General features: G+C 43.5%; 1 protein-coding gene across 5 annotated transcripts in view; it reads left to right on the top strand.

The window, feature by feature from the left end:
- The window catches only part of MAPKAP1 (MAPK associated protein 1), a 269,815-nt gene that overhangs the window by 227,324 nt on the left and 24,146 nt on the right, over positions 1-18,345 (top strand). For all 5 annotated transcript variants that reach the window (NM_001006621.2, NM_001006620.2, NM_024117.4 and 2 more), the window contains one exon: positions 11,776-11,913. In NM_001006621.2, the coding sequence (NP_001006622.1) occupies positions 11,776-11,913 (138 nt within the window). The remainder of the gene's footprint in view (positions 1-11,775; positions 11,914-18,345) is intronic.

Raw genomic sequence — 18,345 nt, 5'->3', positions numbered from 1 at the left:
GATTTCACTTGGCCCCTGTGGCAACATCTTTTAAGTGGAAAGTAAGTGTGTGGCATTTGCCCAGCATCCCTGCTGATTCCACAGAAAACCACTCATCCATGCTGAATTAGTGGTAGTAAGAGCTGCAGCTGAGGATCAGAATCCCCAGGCTCTGCAGTGCCACCCAGTTGCTTGTCTTCTGATGGGGTGGTAGTGGCCTCTGTTCCAGTTGTTTCTGAGAAAGTCAGGGGATGAGAGACTCAAATTTTGACCTGCAAGACCCAAACTTAAGTCGATTTTCCACCAGACTTTTTTTTTTTTTTTTGAGATGGAGTTTCGCTCTTGTTGCCCAGGCTGGAGTGCAATGGTACAGTCTCGGCTCACTGCAACCTCCGCCTCCCGGGTTCAAGCAATTCTTCTGCCTCAGCCTCCCAAGTAGCTGGGATTATAGGCATGCACCACCACGCTCAACTAATTTTTGTGTTTTTAGTAGAGACGGGGTTTCCCCGTGTTGGTCAGGCTGGTCTCGAACTCTTGACCTCAGGTGACCCACCCACCTCGGCCTCCCAAAGTGCTGGGATTACAGGCGTGAGCCACCGTGCCCGGCCTCCACCAGACTTTTCTATGACCGAAAAACCCCATTAATGAAACATATGACACAGCTCTGGTCTTTTAAAATAATAGTAATGAGAAATAGAATTTTTACAAAGCAGTTATTATCAAGTGCTTACTGTGTGCCAAGCACTTTGCTAATTGTTCTCTTTGCATGCGCTGGCGCCTGAAATCGAAGCACTCTTATTAGATAGTACTGATTTTATCACCATTTTTTATATGATGAAACTGGGGTGTAGGAAAAATCTAGTAAGTAATCAAGCCGGAATAAGAATCCAAGACTGTCTGAGGTTGAGTCCTGAGCCTAACTGCTCTGCCTTACATGCGAATCATTGTGCTAAATCTCTGTGGAACTATGACAACTTACAATACACCAAGAGCTTTCTCCCTGATAACCTCATCTAATCTACACAGCACATTGATATTGTTGTTCCCACTTCATGACTGGGAAAACTGAGGCTTGGAGGAGTTTGGAAGAACGTGGTTTATGTAAACCACTGTGTTGAGAGGTACCTAGCTGTTAGTACCAACTCTCCCACACCTCAGTCATCAGATATACGGAGACTTCCAGCAGAATTGAGGCAGAAACTCAGTCCCATACGCCAGACCCAATCTGTCATACCACAGGTGCCAATCCACAGGTGTCATTAATAATTCACCCCCAGACTGGGCAGGATGGCTCAGATCTGTAATCCCAGCACTTTGGGAGGCCAAGGTGGGAGGATTGCTAGAAGCCAGGAATTCAAGACCAGTCTGGACAACATGACAAAACCCTGTCTCTACAAAACATTTAAAAACCTTAGCTGGGTGTGGTGGCGCATACCTGTGGTCCTAGCTACTTAGGAGGCTGAGGCAGGAGGATCCCTTGAGCCCAGGAGTTCAAAGCTGCATTGAGCTAGGATCGTGCCATTGTACTCCAGCTTGAGTAACAAAGCAAGACCCTGTCTCTAAATTTATATATATAAAGAAAAAATAACTCAACTGCACAACGGAAGTGATTACTTCTAGTTGGCCAGTTCCTAAACTTGTGCATATTCCTGCTCTTCTCCCGCCCCTAGTATCTGGAGATGAATGTCCACGTACTGTGATACCCTCCTCCTCTTTATTTTAGATGTTGTTTATCAGCCACTGCGCTTCCTCCCTCTGGGCCCGGACCTAACCTCAGAATTTGTTCCAACACAGTCCTATAAGCAACCCCTACCCATCAATTGAAGGTAATTCTTAAATTGAAATATCTTTGCCATTCCTGCTCTACCAGCCCAGAATCTTACCAAAGTCATCATTCCAAACCATTCCTGTATTTCTCTAAAACATTCTTGGAATATTTCATCTTGTCTGCTTTCCCTCTGTCAGTCCTAAAAAGTACAGATGTCCTTCAAGTGTAGCTTTACTTGAGATTCTACCAAGTTGAGGTTATTTCCATTAACTTGGTCTTCCATATACCTGATCCTGTGTGCCTAACCACTTGAGGGAGGTTGCACACTGAGATATGTGCCACCCAAACGGGCTGGTAGGGGGAAGTAAGTTAGGGGAACATTGAAACAGAACGGGTCAAGCGGAGAATGCAGCCACAATCTAAGAAACCCACAGTATATTATCAATAAGTATTTGTTGGCTGGCTGGCAGAAGCTAAATTACAATGCACCAGCCAAAGGAAAGCACAGAAACCAATGCAAGAACCATGGCAGACAGGGCCAAGACATCCCCACAGTGAACACCTCTTATATGCAGAGCACCTCGGGGCAGTGGGTCTGACCCTGAACATATATCAGAGTCACCCAGTCCCTGGCCTCATCCCAGGCCTGCTGGCTCAATATCTCCCCTAGATTGTGGTGTTTAGGGGACACAAACTCACAGTATTGAAAGGACTTTCTTACCCCTTATCTCTTTGTCCAAGCTTGTTTTTACTGACTGGGCAGGTCAACCTGGTTTTTCTGATGCAGTCTCACGCTGAGAAGTGGTTTGATATTTGCACCACTTGTACTCACTTGGTTTGTTTGCCTCATTTATCAGTGTAGACCGTTCCCATGTCACCGAAGGGATCTGTTACTGAACACGTAAGATACCATGAATTCCATCCTATCAGCATCGCATCTATAACCTAATAAAATAATTCTGTATAAGATATACAGAGTCTGTATAGGATTTATAGATAAATGATAGAAAATGACTTCTACCAAAAGGTTCCATGGTTACTTCCATTATCTTTTCATAAAACTGTCCAGTATGTATAATCATAAGACTTGTGATTATGGTAGTTCTTTATGAAAATATCAAGTACAATACCACATGTCCTAGAGAAGGCAAAAAGGTTTCGTCTCATCAGCTGGCTCCAGTCAAGTTTATAACGGCTGCCCAGAGCATTATGCTGAGGCAGCATCTCCAGCTGTGTCTGAGGGCAACATAAAGAAACTCTGTGATTGATTAGAAATGTCTGCCCTGGGCCTGAGCATGATGACAGGCAGCATATTTGCCATTTCTTGTCTTCCCTGCCTTGTCTTTCCTACCGCAGTTATTATTTAACCCACTAGTCAATAACCACAGGCCGGCACTCAAAGGAAGACTTTATTATGGTGTTATTTTTAAGTATACAACATGCAAACTTAAGAAACACGGTAACAGCACAATAGTGAGTGAAAGCAGCAGCGGTGGCCTGGACTGCCTCACTCCTCAGGCACACTCTCAGGCTAAACATGGTTCTGGGTGGCCACATGAATAAAACATTTTCCCTTGTTAGTTTCCAGTGGGGTACCTGTGGAGTACAGTTCAAGTAATCACATAATCTGAACATGCGTGTTCTTAGGAAGTGGATTGATCTTCCATGTTTCCATTTCACTTTGCCGTTGAACACTAAGGAGGTGCCCCTCTCCATTCCAAGACACAATCAGGAGGAGGCGTGCGTCACATTTAACTCAAATCCCTGGGTCCGTTCAGTAATTTGAAGTTGGCAATTCTGATATTAAATGATTGTTCAGTCCCTATTGTGACAGCATTTCCTGAACCAAACTTTGGAATTGACTTATACTAATGAACTGATGAGGCAGAGGATGCATGCTATCAAGACTGCCTCCAGAAAACTCCGTTACCACTTTTGCACTAAATGCAGTGATTGGCTTAGGGAAAAATCACCTAACTGGTAATATTGGAAACACTGTGGGCTTTTTCTTAAGGCCTAGCTTCCTCTGGCTCCCTGCTCCCAGAGCCACCCTTTTGAGAATTCCTATGGAGTAACCCAGGGTTATTAATGACAATGTGTCAGGTTCCTCAGGTGGCTGAGAAAGAATTGAGAATTGGAAGAAGTTGAGAAGCACTGGCATGATGGAATTAATGGGAGTCGGATTCATGAGCGTTCATCCAGAGTTCTGTGCTCCTTTAATCACTTCCTCATCTTTGGCACCTGAGCTCCAACAGGGCCTGAACATGGGGAAGATCAGGTTTTCCCCACTCTACAAGTGATACTGTAAATTCTCTTAGGGCCTGCTGCTTCCTAGCTGACATCATAGGCTCACCTGAGGTATCCATTTACTGAGAGAGTAGTTTGGTGATCTAGCTGTCCTAGTGCAGAATCTTTGTAAATGCCTTCTCTGCAGAGAGAACTTAGCACTCATTCAAAGACAAGTCTTTCTGGGATTAAACAGTCCCAGGTCTGATTTCATAAGCTCTGCCCTGGTGCTGTGTCCTGTGCTGACTGCTGCTCTGCGTTCGTTCGTGTCCAGGCCACTCCTTGTTTTGCGTGCCAAGCCTAACAGTCTAGTCAGGTACACTCGGACTTGTCATTGAGTCTCTTACTGACCACATATTGGAATTGGCAGCTTTTAGCTGTGGTTCCCAAACCGTTTCAGAATGGTTAGTCCTTTGAATGAAACCAGTGATCCTGGGGCCTAGAACTCCACTTGATCTCAAGAAAGTAAGGCTCTACTGGGTTTCATTTTAGTTGTGACCTGAAATATGGTTTTGTCATCTATTTTGGGTGCCTTAAATTGCTGGAGACAGCGCTTTTTTATTGTAATGCATTTGATCAGTGTGAATATGCAGTACTCCTGCATGGCAGGTGAGCTGGTCTGTTTAAGCCCTGGCCTGGTAGTATGGGGATATGAATTATGGTTACAGCTCTGTCATTAATGGGTGACATCAGACAAGTCATGTCCCAGCCCTGAGCCTCAATTTTTTCATATGGAGAATGAAAACCCCAGACTAGGTGATCTCTAAGGTCTCATTAAGCCCAAACAGCCTGTGTGTCTGATCTTGTGTGTAAATTCAGACAAGTTTCAAAGACTTCCCTGACTGCTCTGTGGATGCTATCGATTGGCTGTATATATTCAGCAAAATCCACTCTGGCGAAGAGTTGTTCAGTGGCACTCCCTTGGGGGCTTTTCCAGGCTTTCATAGGCTCTCGGTAACCTGAAGACAAGAGGATTGTAGAATTGTGTAAAAAGCTGCTCCAGGATTTAACAGCAGTGGGACTTTTGTAGCCTTAGATTCAAAGCTGTAGGAAATTGATGAATGAACCACAGCTTATGATATCTGAGCAAATGATAACAGGAAATACACTAAGACATGAATTGTTAAATGCCTTAATTTTTGCCAAAGTGGTGTTTTAGCTTTTTTAAGGGGGTATTTTAAGAGTACCATAGGGGAGGTTGTACCTCCCAAGAGTCAAGCAGTCTCCTCTGGGACAATAGGAAACAGCTGGCAAGTCAGAACTCACCAGGCAGCTAGACCTGGACTTGAACCCAAGCTCTCCAGTTTACTAATTTGATTCACCATAGGCTAGTACATTTTACAGAGGAGAATGATCAGGCTCACCAAGGGAGCAGTGACTTTGCCCAGGATAACACCAGTGGGGATGTGCCAGCATAATCAGGGCCTCCAAATTTGTGGCCTGGAGACCCAGTAGGATGAGGATTCCCTAGCACAAAAGTTTCCACATTCCAGATCTGAGAACATTCTTCCTGATTTGAATTGAACTCTTGGAGGTTGTGAGGAGGAGATATGCCCAGTGACACTTGGTGGTGGGAGGTTACTGGGGGGATTTGTGGGGATGAAGGCATTGTCTCCCAAACTGGATCCTGGTGCTCCCAAGACTGGGATGTAGAGAAGGTCCCAGGGAGAATTCTTCTCGCCCTCCAATTCCAGAGCCAGGCAGGTCCTTTATTCACCTCCTTCTCGTGGCTCCCTGAGCTCCCCAGACTCGACCCTCATCACTGAGTCTATGTCACATCCTTAACCCAGTGCCTGACTTCTGATAATAATCATTAGAAGGAGTAATATTCATCGCTAGCTATGTATCAGGCACAATTCCAAGCCCTTGTCATGCCTTATTTCACCTAATCCTCACAACAAGCACTTGAGGTATCTATTATTATGTGTATTATTATCATCTCCGTTTTATAGAAGTTTTTCCCAAGTCACGTAGTTAGGAAGTAGGAAGGCTGACATTTGAACAGAGGACTTTCTGACTCCAGATTTCCTACCCCTAAGCCCCCTCTTTAAATGTAAGATAGGCTAATAGTGCCTTCCTGATTAGAGGTGTTCTAAGCTCTCAATAAGCCTCTGTACACAAAAGGACCTAGTGTGGGGGCTACCCAGAGTGGGCGCTCAGTCTGTGTTAGAAGAAGATGCTACGCGGTGCTAATTTCCTTTTATGGAAATCTTGGTTAGCTAAAGCAGACAAGGGTCTCCTTGTGATAACTCTAAAGGCTTGCACAAATAGTTTCCCCAGAGAGCTGTATACACATTAGAGTTGCGTTTTTGTTTATTTTGAGCTGTCTTGTTAAGGAAGGATTTATATGCTGGCGTTGATGTAGGACAGCAATCAGGCAATGTTTTCTGCCTTTGACAGTTGGTGTGATAGTTTGCTTCCAGTGAAGTTTGACTCACTGTATCTGGAAGCTGTCAGAAGTGGGAGCATGAAAAGGTCATGACGGATGGCTGTGGATAAGTGGTTAGGGGAGGGAGCTGGTAAGGGAGACAAACTGCCTCCCTTGTTTCCAAGAGAAGGGGCTGACCCTGGCTGCTCCCGGCCAGCCCCCGTGCTCTTTTCTTCCCCACCTGCCTGAGCTGGAAAGAAGCCTGCCGGGCTCCAGTTTTGAGAGGGGCACCAGGTTGGGTGTAGTGTAGCTCATGAGCCCTTCCCAGCAGCGCAACCCCTGGCATACCACTAGAACTGCTAGAAGTTCTGTTAAAGAAATTCTGCTAAAAAAAAAAAAAAAAAAGTTCTGCTGAAGAACTGCTAGAAGGAAGCATTCTTTCACTGAGGATCACTTCACCATTATCAAGACTTCAGCATACTTATCCTTCCCCACATTTTAACAGTCGAGAAAGGATACTGAATTCTGAAGTGGAAATCAAAAAGTGTCAGCTTTCAAAGTGATGTTTGTTTTTATTTTTCGTGAAATGTTTATCTTGGAAAAAATACAGAAAAGGAAAGGATATAATTCTACTAACCAGAGTTGGCCACTGGCACCAGTTTTTGGAGCACGTCCTTTTGACATCTTTTTTTATAAATGGTTTTCCTGTCCTTTTCACTTACTATTGTGTTATAAGGATTTTTCTAGTCAAAACTTTTCGTGGTTATCTTGTATTTCATCATTGTTGGATCAACTATTCCTCTATTACTGGCCACTTAAGTTGGAGAAATGTCAATGTAACAAAAGCCAGTTTCTCTTATTTCCTTGGAAATACATTTATAATTTGAATTACTTAAAACAGTGCATACGTGACACTGTAAGGAGTGCCTCTGCCATTCCTTAAATGACTTTACGCAAAAACTTTAGCCGAGGAAATCAAAACTATGCTCGGTGGTCAGAAAGAATATTGATCGGATTTCATGCTCCAATTTGCCATGTATGAACAAAAAATAGATGTGTGCATTTATTGGCATTTGTGAACATTTATTTGTTCCTTGGTGAAAATTGAGAGAGGAGATGGAGGACTGCTTGGGCAGAGCTCCTTATTATTAATACATCTTCTGACACGGCTGAGGCTGTGCAGAGCAGCAGAAAGAACAGGGACTTGAGACCCAGGCAGCTCTGGGTTTGAACAGTGGCTGTTCCACTTAGATGCTCCCTGACCTAGGCAAGCACCTTCCCCTCTCCTGGGATATGTTATATGAAACATTTAGCACAGTTCTTGCAGAATAGTGTAGTGGCTGAGGGGACACATTCTGGAACCAGACTTCCTGAGTTCAAATTGCAGCTTTGCCACTTCTGAGCTGGGTGATCTTAGGCAAGTTACTTGACCTCACTGTGTTTCTGTTTCCTCGTCAGTAGAATAGGATGAACATACTAGCCAACTTCATGAGGTTATTAAGAGATCTGAGTCCATGCACACAGTGGATTTCTAACCATGCTGGCACATTGTTGATGGCAGTTAATGTTAGCTGTTATGTTAATACTGGAGGTGCTCAGTGAATGGTGTCTATAACTGGCGTCATGCCTGTTGGGCCTAAGGAGAAAATTGTACTGAATGATCGCTGGTGCCCGAGCCTGCCGAAGCAGAAACGGCAGTGAGCCTACCAGGGTTGCACCTTTGCTCTTGGCCTAGGCCTTTGCCTTAAGGAGTCTGAGCTACAGGGACCGTGTGTGCAGCAGCCCTCTTCTCCTGGTGCTCTGCTCACAGGGAGACAGTGCTGCTTCTGCCCACAACCCACTCACTCCCCTTAGCATAGAGAAGTGGCAGTGACAAGTGGGGTACTACTCAACCTCCGCACTTGCAACCCCACTAGCCTGGCTTCCACAACCTCTTCCCCCACCCCTCATCACTGCGGCGATGCCCCAGGAACCTCTCTGACTCCCTTCTCCCTCACACCCTGTGTGCAGCCATCTGCCTACTCCTAACTCTTTTGTCTTTAATATGCTCATCCCCACTGCACCCCAGCCGCGACTGTCCCTGCCCCTGGCCTGGGCTGTGGCACCTGCTTCCTCACTGATCTCTCCTCCACCAAGCCAACTCCTCCTTGTAACCAAGAAGACTACCGAGGGCTCCGAAGCCAAGGACAGAGAGGCCTCTGTTTGCCTCCAGGCTGGATTCTGGGCCTCCTTTCTCTTTTCTGCAGTAGGTGTGCACTCTTCCCGGGGGTGCTCAGGAAGAGGGCTGCTCCCGTGGACTGCCTCAGGCCGAGTGCTGACACATGGCGGCAGGAGCAGATAGGGTGCTGCGGTGCTGCCTGCGCTGCCTTAAGAAGCTGAGACTCACACAAGTGTTAAGAGGGTAAGATTATTTAATGTACAAAAGGATTTTTCCCATCAGGAAAGATTCCCCTACAGGTTTCTTTAAATAGTGACTCCTCTAGGCAGGCAAGTGTTTTACAGATCATTAACTACTTGACTGAAAGCCTACAGGGCAGAGAAACTTAAAACTAAAGTGTTGGGAGCCCCTGCCAATTACAGATCAATCTAAAATGAAGATAAAGTAGCTCTGGAACTAGAAGTCAGTGGGAAAATGTGATTCGATTCAGAAAAAAAAAATCTGATTCACATGCAACTTTTTTGGAACACACCGTCTAAATGATATCCCACCTGTCTGCCCATCTTGAGCCTATTGCATTCATCTCCTACATCTTCATCCCCAAGCCCCGGTCTTGGGGTGCCCCTCTGTGAACAGTAACTGCACAATAACCCCAGGAAAGGGCGTCATTGGGAAAGTGTTCTGTGGCTGTGCAGAGCTTAGGCAATTGATGCAGAGATACTGCTGGTAATGGATGAACTATACGGTAACAATTTGCAGATAAAAATAATAGAAGTTAAAGTGTACTTTACATGATAAAAGAAAGATGAAAGAGGACGAGAGTCTGTTACATCTGAGATGGTTACAAAAGTCCTGCTTTGTGAAGTAGGCTCTGTTGAAAAGATTGATGCAATGGGGAGTGACCTTGGCTTGGAGCAGGAGCTGGTGATGTATGTATGAGCATCCCTCTGCTAAATGGACCCAGATTTGTAGCACTAATATACATGGGAGCCCAGAACCAAACTCAGTACGGCAATAAATCAACAGCCACTTTGGGTGTCATTTCTGGTTTATATTCCACTATTGTTCTATCACTTTAATTCATGTCACTATCATCTTTTCATCTGGAACAGTTTTATATAATTTTCCAGTGGAGTTACCTGACAAATCCTATCAAATTAACAAGGTACATTAACAGTATTGACTGACTACAGCTTCAAGAGTTGTAGGGGCATAGAACAAAATTTTAAAACCATGTCTCTGGTGATGATATTTTTCCCCATTCTTTCTGAGAAAAGAATGTGGAGCACGGTTTATTTTCACATAAGAGATATGCATGTTTATTCTGCTCGGCTCATTTTGACTTTTATAAATGTCAAAATAAGAAGAAGAAGGGGAACACACACATGCACACACACACACCCGACAACCATGGCTTCAGTACTTCTTTCAGGGAACTATAGAAATGTCCAGATCTTTAACAATTAATGACCAAATTGGAGGCAAGAGTGTAACTGGGTAGTCGTAATCTATTTTAACTGAAATGTAATAAAATTGGTCTCCTGATACATTCTCACCCTCCTGAAATCATCTAGACCTGAACGTCCAGAGTCAGCTGGACTTACGACATTATGCCTAATTGAAATATGGTGTTCCTGAAATAGGTCTAATGACAAATTCCAGCGTTCGATTAGTAAAAAATACCAATGGTTCATCTTTACCAAAGACCACACGTACTGACCAGGGTACAGCAGCCATCTCTGCATTGTCTCCCCTGGAGGCAGCAGAGGAGCCTCGACTGTAGTCTGTCTGCACACATTCTTCTTCTGCCTTTGTCTAGCTGGTATTTGGGATTTATTTATTCATAAAATAAAATATAAATGTATGGAGCGTGTAGCAGACCTAATCAGTAGGATTTTGTTTGTATTTGTTTTTTTAATTTTAAATTTGCTGTCAGACTGTGTTTGGGGTGTGTGTGTGTTTTATTTTGGGGGGAGGTTAATTGAACTGTTTCTTTTATCTGCTGCTGCTTTTGGCTTACTAAGTTTTCTCACATTTTGTTCAAAAATTTGAGTGTGATTCGTAGGATGAAATATGTTAACTATGTCTTTTCTGTTTCACTTTGTACATTTGGTTATTTTAATTATTTCTTATATCTTCATTTTGCTTTTTTTCACTTTGACCCTGACCTTTAAACTATGGCCTAAAAATTAATTACTTTTAAGGTTCCATATGGGGCCCACTATAGAAGGCATGTTAAAGGTTTTTGTCTCACTTCATGAACAGATTCCTTAATTTTCAGCAAAAGAGGAAAAAGAGCACATCTAGCCTAGGTGGTGTGTGGCGGGCTGAGCATGTACTCCTCTGCAGTACTGAGAAAGCGGTTGCTGTGCATTTCCACACTTATTCCAGGGCCCCTCCCATACCTGGCATTACCTTTGTTCTGCAAACACCTTTATTCCCGGTCACTATACAACGTGTTGTCTTTTAAGCTCTGAAAATAAAATCTGAAGTGCCAGTATTGAACATTCTGGATTCCTGTTGCGTAAAACTCACACCCAGTGCCGAGTCTCGCCCTCAGCAGGGGGGCAATGACCTCTGCAGCCTGAAGCCAGGCTCCAAGACTTGAACTTGGAAGGTTTTATGTAAGGTTTAATCCTCTCGTGACTTCCCTTAAATATAGCTTGGATAATTATTTAGTGTCACAGAAAGGAAGAGTTATTTTATTCTTTTTAGTGTATAAGGTTGTTTCAGATCAGAAGCTGTTCATTGGTAGCTTAGCTGTTTAAACATAGGGATGTTACAGATTTATCTGTCCACCCCAGATCTTCTTAAATGAGAACAACAACTCAGAGCACCAATCAAAACTGTTTTTTAAATAAACCTGATGGTTATTTCATTACAATATAGAGATAATGTACGGCTGTAAATAGCCTCTCTGTGTTGGATCCATGTTATATCTAAGAAGGCTTGTTTCTTAATACCTTCTCATATAGTTTGGGGGGGTTCCCCCACCCTCAACTCACCCACCCAGGAAACCAGACTATGCAACTTGTGTGTGCCATTTGGAGTGTCCTTATGTTTGTCTCAGGAAGCCCGTGGCATTCCCCAAAGCCCTAAGAAAGAGCTCACGTTCATGCAATTTCAGATTTATAAAACAGGTCAAATGATTTCCCTGAAATCACTTACACCTTCTACTTCTTGTGTTTTCTTTTGTGTCCTCACCTTGGCTTACAGGTATCTCTGGAGACAAAGTAGAGATAGACCCTGTTACGAATCAGAAAGCCAGCACTAAGTTTTGGATTAAGCAGAAACCCATCTCAATCGATTCCGACCTGCTCTGTGCCTGTGACCTTGCTGAAGAGAAAAGCCCCAGTGAGTAGTCCCTTTTATTTATGTCTCCTTTCTCTCTTTCCCCTCTCTTCTCTTCTGTGTGCTGGGTGCCAGGAGAATATATTGCCACTGTGTCCTTTTTTCCTTGGGTCTGTTTTAATTCATTACCAGAAATTTCTTTTAATCAAACGGGATTGTATTATGGTGCCCAGAGCCTGACATGTGCCCCATCCTGTTCGGTCTTGATGGCTGCAGAGAACTTCGCAGCCCACCTCCTGACCTCAGCAGCCCAGCCCCGGGAGCTGGGGGCACAGGGCCAGATTTCTGCTGGGAATTTGCACTCACCAGAGCCCTCATTTCCCTTTGGGCTCCCTTCCCCTTCCCATTTGGGGGACTTGACCAGTCAGACCTGGACCTGCCTTCCTTCCCTGTGAGATGGAGGGAAGCTGGGGATTTCCCAAGGCGGCGAACGCCTAGATTTAGATATATCCATCATGCCGGAAGTGTCAGCACCCCCTAGATTATTGGCAGCTGCATGACCTACCAGCTCATGATTAAACTCTTGCCTGGTCCTACAGAAGAGATCTCTGCTGGGTTGGCATTCCTCCGCTTAAATTATCAAAGTAGATACAGTCCAGTTATGTATTTTGGCATATTATACTTTTGCAGTTAAGTAATTGGGTGTAGCATTTAGATTAATCACTTAATCATTTTTAGGACTCCAGTCCTATCAAGGGGCAAAAAGGGCACATAGATCACACTGAAATTCCTCTGTGAAAGAAAAAAATTTAAACTATATAAGAGTTTGTTAGTTGCCTAGAGACTGCTATAAGATAATGGTTCTCAAAGTCTGGTACAGACAAGCATTATCTGCAAAGCCTGTTAAATGCAGTTACCGAGGGCCCACCCTAGTAGATTGTGATTCAGTAACTTGGGAGTATAGACTGAGCATCTAATTTTTATTAATCCCGTGTCCAACATTCACTAAATTTGAGAACAGATGTTATAAGGAATTACTTACTCAAAAGGAACAATAAGAAATGTAAAGGCCAGCGAGTGTTTGTAATACGATTCAAGTTTTTGAGATAACGCTGACTAAACAGGGGCTGACGGGGGCTGATAGACTGGGCACATGCCACATTGCTTCATTTATGGGTGGGTGTTTAATTTTTTGTCAAACTCTGCTGGACTATGTGTTCAGCTCATTCGCCTACAGCTTGGCAAAAAGGGAGAACTTAGGGGGACCCAGGGGAAGGAGGAAGGCCACCCCACTCCCTTCCTGCCATTCCTGTCATCCCAGCGAGGCCTCCGACCCTGCAAAAGGCTGTGAGAAAAGTGCCTGCTGCTGGGGGGCCTTGCCTCAAGGTTGCTGGATTCCCTCTGCCTTTGGATAAACATCTTCCTAATCCCGCTCACTTCAGCTTGTCGGCCAATAAAGATGTCATTGTTCTAGCATCTTTCTCTCCAAGAACTTAGGATGCTTTGAACAGTAACATTTTATAAATTCTCCATGTCTCTGAGAAATGAAAGGCAATCACTTCTGTGTTGCATAAAGGGATAAGCTAGAGTGGAAAGGTTAGAGAAAGAAATAGATGCAGGATTCAGGTTTTTTCCTTAACAAAGAGGCTCACTGCACCAGTAAAACACTGCCTAAGTCCCTGTCCCCTATGGCAGTGCTTTTTAAACCGTGTTCCTCAGAACTCTAGCATCTCAGAGAGACCTCAGGGGTACGGGGTGGGTGGTGGGGGAAGGTTGGGCATAAGGCCTCCCCTTGAACCAAAGGAACTCTACTTAGTTGTAGACACAAAGTCTTGCTATGTTGCCCAGGCTGTTCTTGAGTTCCTGGCCTCAGGCTATCCTCCTGCCTCAGTCCCCCAAAGTACTAGGATTACAGACGTGAGCCACCACTCTCAGCCAGAAGAAAAATTTGAAATAGGCTTACAGAATAAAATGCAGACCAGCATAGCCTTTGCAGACATTGGCAAGCAGCTGACACGCTAGCCTCATAGCCCATAGTTTCCCATCTCACATTTGGGCTGTGGTCACTGTAACTACTTGCACACGATGCATTCTGTGCTGTTCCCACTGCCTGGAATATGCCTTTCGAACCTGACCCCCTCTCTAACTTACAAACATTTCCACCTCCCCGTACTCAGCCTGCTCATTTTTCAAGACCCAGCTCCAGTGTCAGGCTCTCTCTGTTCACTTTGCCCCCCAGGAGTTTGCACATGCCTCTAGGAATACCCCTTTGTGCTGTATTTATCCATTGGAGGCCCACCCGTCTCTCCCACCTCCATCTCCATAGTGAACTAACTGACCCAAGAACTGGCTTCCGTGTCCTCACTCCCTAGCACGGAGCCTGCAGAGTTGTCCTCACTGAATGTTTGTTAACTGAAAACTGAACTTACTGAAGCCAGAATTTAGAATCCAAAAGTTATTCCACATAATTTATGTTGTAAAGTGCCCAAAGATGTATTAAATGAATCGGCTTGATGTTATGTGTTTTATGATTTCCAGTATCTTCATCAAATTAATTCAGTGACTCAATCTAGCAAGTTCATCCTCAGACCATAGAATTAATCTGTGGGGCGTCTTCTGTTTCTTTATTATTTAAAGGATTAATGGTAACCCTTTTTATCTTTTGTGTCTGTTGAACCTTAGAAAAAAGTTATTTTAACATCACTAAAGAAATGAAAGTCACTATATTTCATAAGTTTAGCCTGTGATTTTTATCAGCATAGTGATGTATGTTTGTAGCTGAGTTTACATCAAAAATTGTTCTTGGGGCCTTCTTGAATGAATTATGGCAAAGAGAGAGAGTCTAGAAGTAGATAAGGTTTTTGATTTCTGCAATATATTTCCTTTTTCATGTTTTTATCTCTGGTAGCACAAGTGTCTTGCCGAAGACCGGAACGTGTGACCAACTGGAATAATTTAGTTGTGAAAACAGAGCAGACATGTTATTAAACAGCTTTCTTTACAAAAAGACATTAAGTGTAGGGAGGATAATGAAGTTGTCCCCAGTCTTAGTTGAGACATGTTTGTCAGAATTTTGAACAGAAAAGAAATGGTTTTTAAACCTTCGACTGTGGCCAGTTTGCAGTGTTTATTGAGAAAGCCGCTGTCAAACCATTAATTTGGTCGTCATAAGGCATAGAACTCAAGTTTAATTGATGCCATATCCAAAAAGTGTGTGAATAGCTGACTTGGCAAAGAGACTGAGCATTTGAGCGGCTGCAGGGAAATACATAATTACACATACTGCGGGACCGGAGAGACCCAGGCTCAGAAGCCGTGCTTCGTAAACAACAGTTCTGTGGCTCTCTTTCCATTCCCCTCGACTTCTCCCTCTTAGGCTGGGGTCTCAGAGGGAAGATTTATTGCTCTGTCCCTGTGAGTGTTTAAGGACTTGAACTTAATGGCTAAATAGATACATGCCTAAAAAATTGTACATATAAATATGAATTCTTAAAAGAGTTATTTGAGAATCTGTGTATCACAAGCCTTGAGAAATTAAGAATTAAATCCTGTCTTTCTAGATTTAAGGAGAAAAAAAACATGCTGCCATTATTATTCAAATGAGTGATTCCCTCTGTCAGATTTTGCTATTTTGAAAGACGTCATAAGCCCCTAAAAGGTGAATTGATTTTAATTTATTATAACTGGTCAAGGATGTATTCAACACATACAAGAGGAGAATGTTTCCGTATCAGAAACTACCATGTTTAAATTTTCTTAGGGAAATAATTTTCCATCCTTATATACCTCTAGATACAGGTCTTTTTTTTTTTTTTTTTTTTTTTTTTTTTAATATATGAGACAGGGTCTCACTGTGTTGCCCAGGCTGGGCTCAAACTCCTGGGCTCAAGTGATCCTCCCACCTCAACCCACCAAATAGCTGGGACTACAGGCATGCGCCACCATGTCCAGTTCTAGACACAGGCTTTGAATGCTGTGGCTCTCTTTTTAAGTGCTGGCCTCACATTCCTACCCTGAAACAAAAGCAAGGGACCTTTCTGTGAAGCTGGTACCCATCAGAGACACTCAGGCTGTATTTCAGAACCAGACTCAGCCATGCCAGATCTGGTTTCATCATAAGAAGGTTGTGCAGGTTTAGAGTCTTTAAAGGAAGCAGCCTATCATTAAGAAATCAGATTTAAACCTTAATAAAGTAGCTGTCATCTTTATAGCTGAAAAGAGCGCTGTATCTCAATTAAGCATAGATCATATAAAATCTTAAGGAAGCAACATAATAGAGGTAACCTGATTACATTCTCTTGCAATAGTATAATTCAAAGGAAATCTGATTCTGTTCATGCTGGTTATGTTAGGGGATTTCTTGTTTTGTTTTGCTTTTTGTCCAGAACACCATTTGGATGCAAGATAGGAACTCTTTGGGGTTAAGAGTTAAGCACAACTGCAGGAGACTGGTAAACCCTAGTGACTAGAACTTGCTGGATATTTGAAATGAGATTCAGTTAAGGCTATGAGTTAAATGAGCTGGGCTTATTGGTGACCTACCACTTAAGTGAATCTTTCTTTTCATAAGTACTTGACAAGATCTGTAAAGTAGTGTATTTAATTTACTAATTAAATTAAAGCTACTGAATAATGATTTGTCCACATTGATTTAGCTTAAATAGAAAAGATCAGCATTGTTGTGATCTTCAGCAACCTTAATGGCCAAGCCAGTTAGACACAAAGGCCTCTTGTGTTTTATAGGTCAGAAGGACATAGGTAAGTCCAGGCTGTAATTGAATTGCCTGCACTGCACCCTGCAGTCGCAGATTTCCTTTGCCTTCCCGTTCCATTGTTGCACTGGGGCTTAAGAGAATGTTAACGCGGTAATAGGCACAGGGCCTTCCCCATTATACGTCTTGCTATCGAGCGGTTCTGCATGACTAGTTAAAGAAGATGGCAAGAAGATTAATGAAAGCAAGGCTAATACAGAAGGGGGTACTTTTGCAAGACTTCTACCGAGGAGATATTAGAGCTGAACCAGAGCTTGGCTTTTTCTTTATCCTGTGACCTTTGAACCTGCCTTACTGTTGAGAGCTGCCAGGGAAGTCGACATTTTGATTGATGTTGGTACACGAGTCAGTCTTTCCCATTGAATTCCACATCTGTACAAAAATAGCTTTTCCAGCAGAATTCATACTGGCTAGAAGTGATAGCCAAATTGATGGCTGAAATGCTTGTGTGTAGTTTTCAGTTAAACTAAGGGTATTTGATGGTTTAATTCAGTATCCAGTTTTCCTAGATTATACAAATTCACTTACATGTTTTTAATGGGTTCATTAACCCATAGTGAAAGACCAGTATTAAGAATGTTCATAGGTTTGCAAATAGCTCCAAACAGGCTTTATGAAGAGTAAAAGCAGTCAGTCATTAAACAAACCCTGAGGGCTCAGGGAAACTGACTTCAGGGTTTATGTAAACAAAGCAAAGCTGGTTTTTGGAAAGCTATAGATGGGCTGGTCTGAAATCTCACCTCTGCATCCCACCTTAGCCCCAGTTCAGAGGCTGTCTTAATCCACCCAGATGCTGGGTTCCCTAAACTGGCATTCCAGCTGCAGGGGATTGTCATGGGCCACTTGTAAGACAGCCTTGTGAAGATACAAACTTCTTCATATGTTCTCACTGATTTTGTTACTTGTTTGTAGAGCTGCAGGCCTCACATGTATATGTGTGGCTGAATGTGCCAGTATGTGCATTCCTCACCCCCAGCCCACCCCCAACAAAGGAGAGCAGGGAGACTGTGGCTGAAGGATTCATGCTTGTTACTGAAATCACCCTGGGCACACCCCAGCTTATCCGTCGGATCCTCGCCACCTGATTTCTTTCTCCCTATTTGACATGGGTAGTTCTAGCAGAGAACACACGCATGTGCGCTCTTGCTTGCTCATGCGCTCTCTCTCTTTCTCATGTGATAGGCATTCTAGTTCCTAAGGGAGGAGATACCCAGGAATTTTGTCATATTCTTGAGATGCTCTCATGAAATGTGTGAAAGAGGAATGAGGATGACTTTAGTTACCTTTGGATGAAAGAGCTACAGCCCCAAGGTAGACAGGTGGATATCTACAGCCCTGCTGGTGCACTGAGGGCCCAGTAGGTGAGGCACCTGCAGTTATACTCCAGTATAACTGGAGCTGCAGCCCAGGAAGGCAACAGCCCTTCCTCAGGCTCTGTCCACTCCCGGGAGATCCAGGCACTCCAGACGTTAGGTGGACACGTTATGTTGTGTTTTTATTCTCTAACAAGGGCTTATTTCATAAGTTCCAGATCAAATACAGTAAGTACTGCCTGATTACAGAACACAACGGACTCTCACATATTAATGCCCCAGTTATTGAATTGCCTTTTCATAAGAGTACTCTGGAGCACAATCAGGAGCAGGCAGTGCCTCATCCTTTTAACAGATATGTTTCCTAGCCCTATTAAAAGGGGTCTTCATCTATCCTGTCAAAGGAAGTC

Source organism: Homo sapiens, chromosome 9, assembly GCF_000001405.40.
Source record: "Homo sapiens chromosome 9, GRCh38.p14 Primary Assembly".
In the NCBI taxonomy this organism is placed as follows: Eukaryota; Metazoa; Chordata; class Mammalia; order Primates; family Hominidae; genus Homo; species Homo sapiens.
Note: the sequence above shows the minus strand (reverse complement) of the source record. Positions and strands in the feature narration are given on the sequence as shown.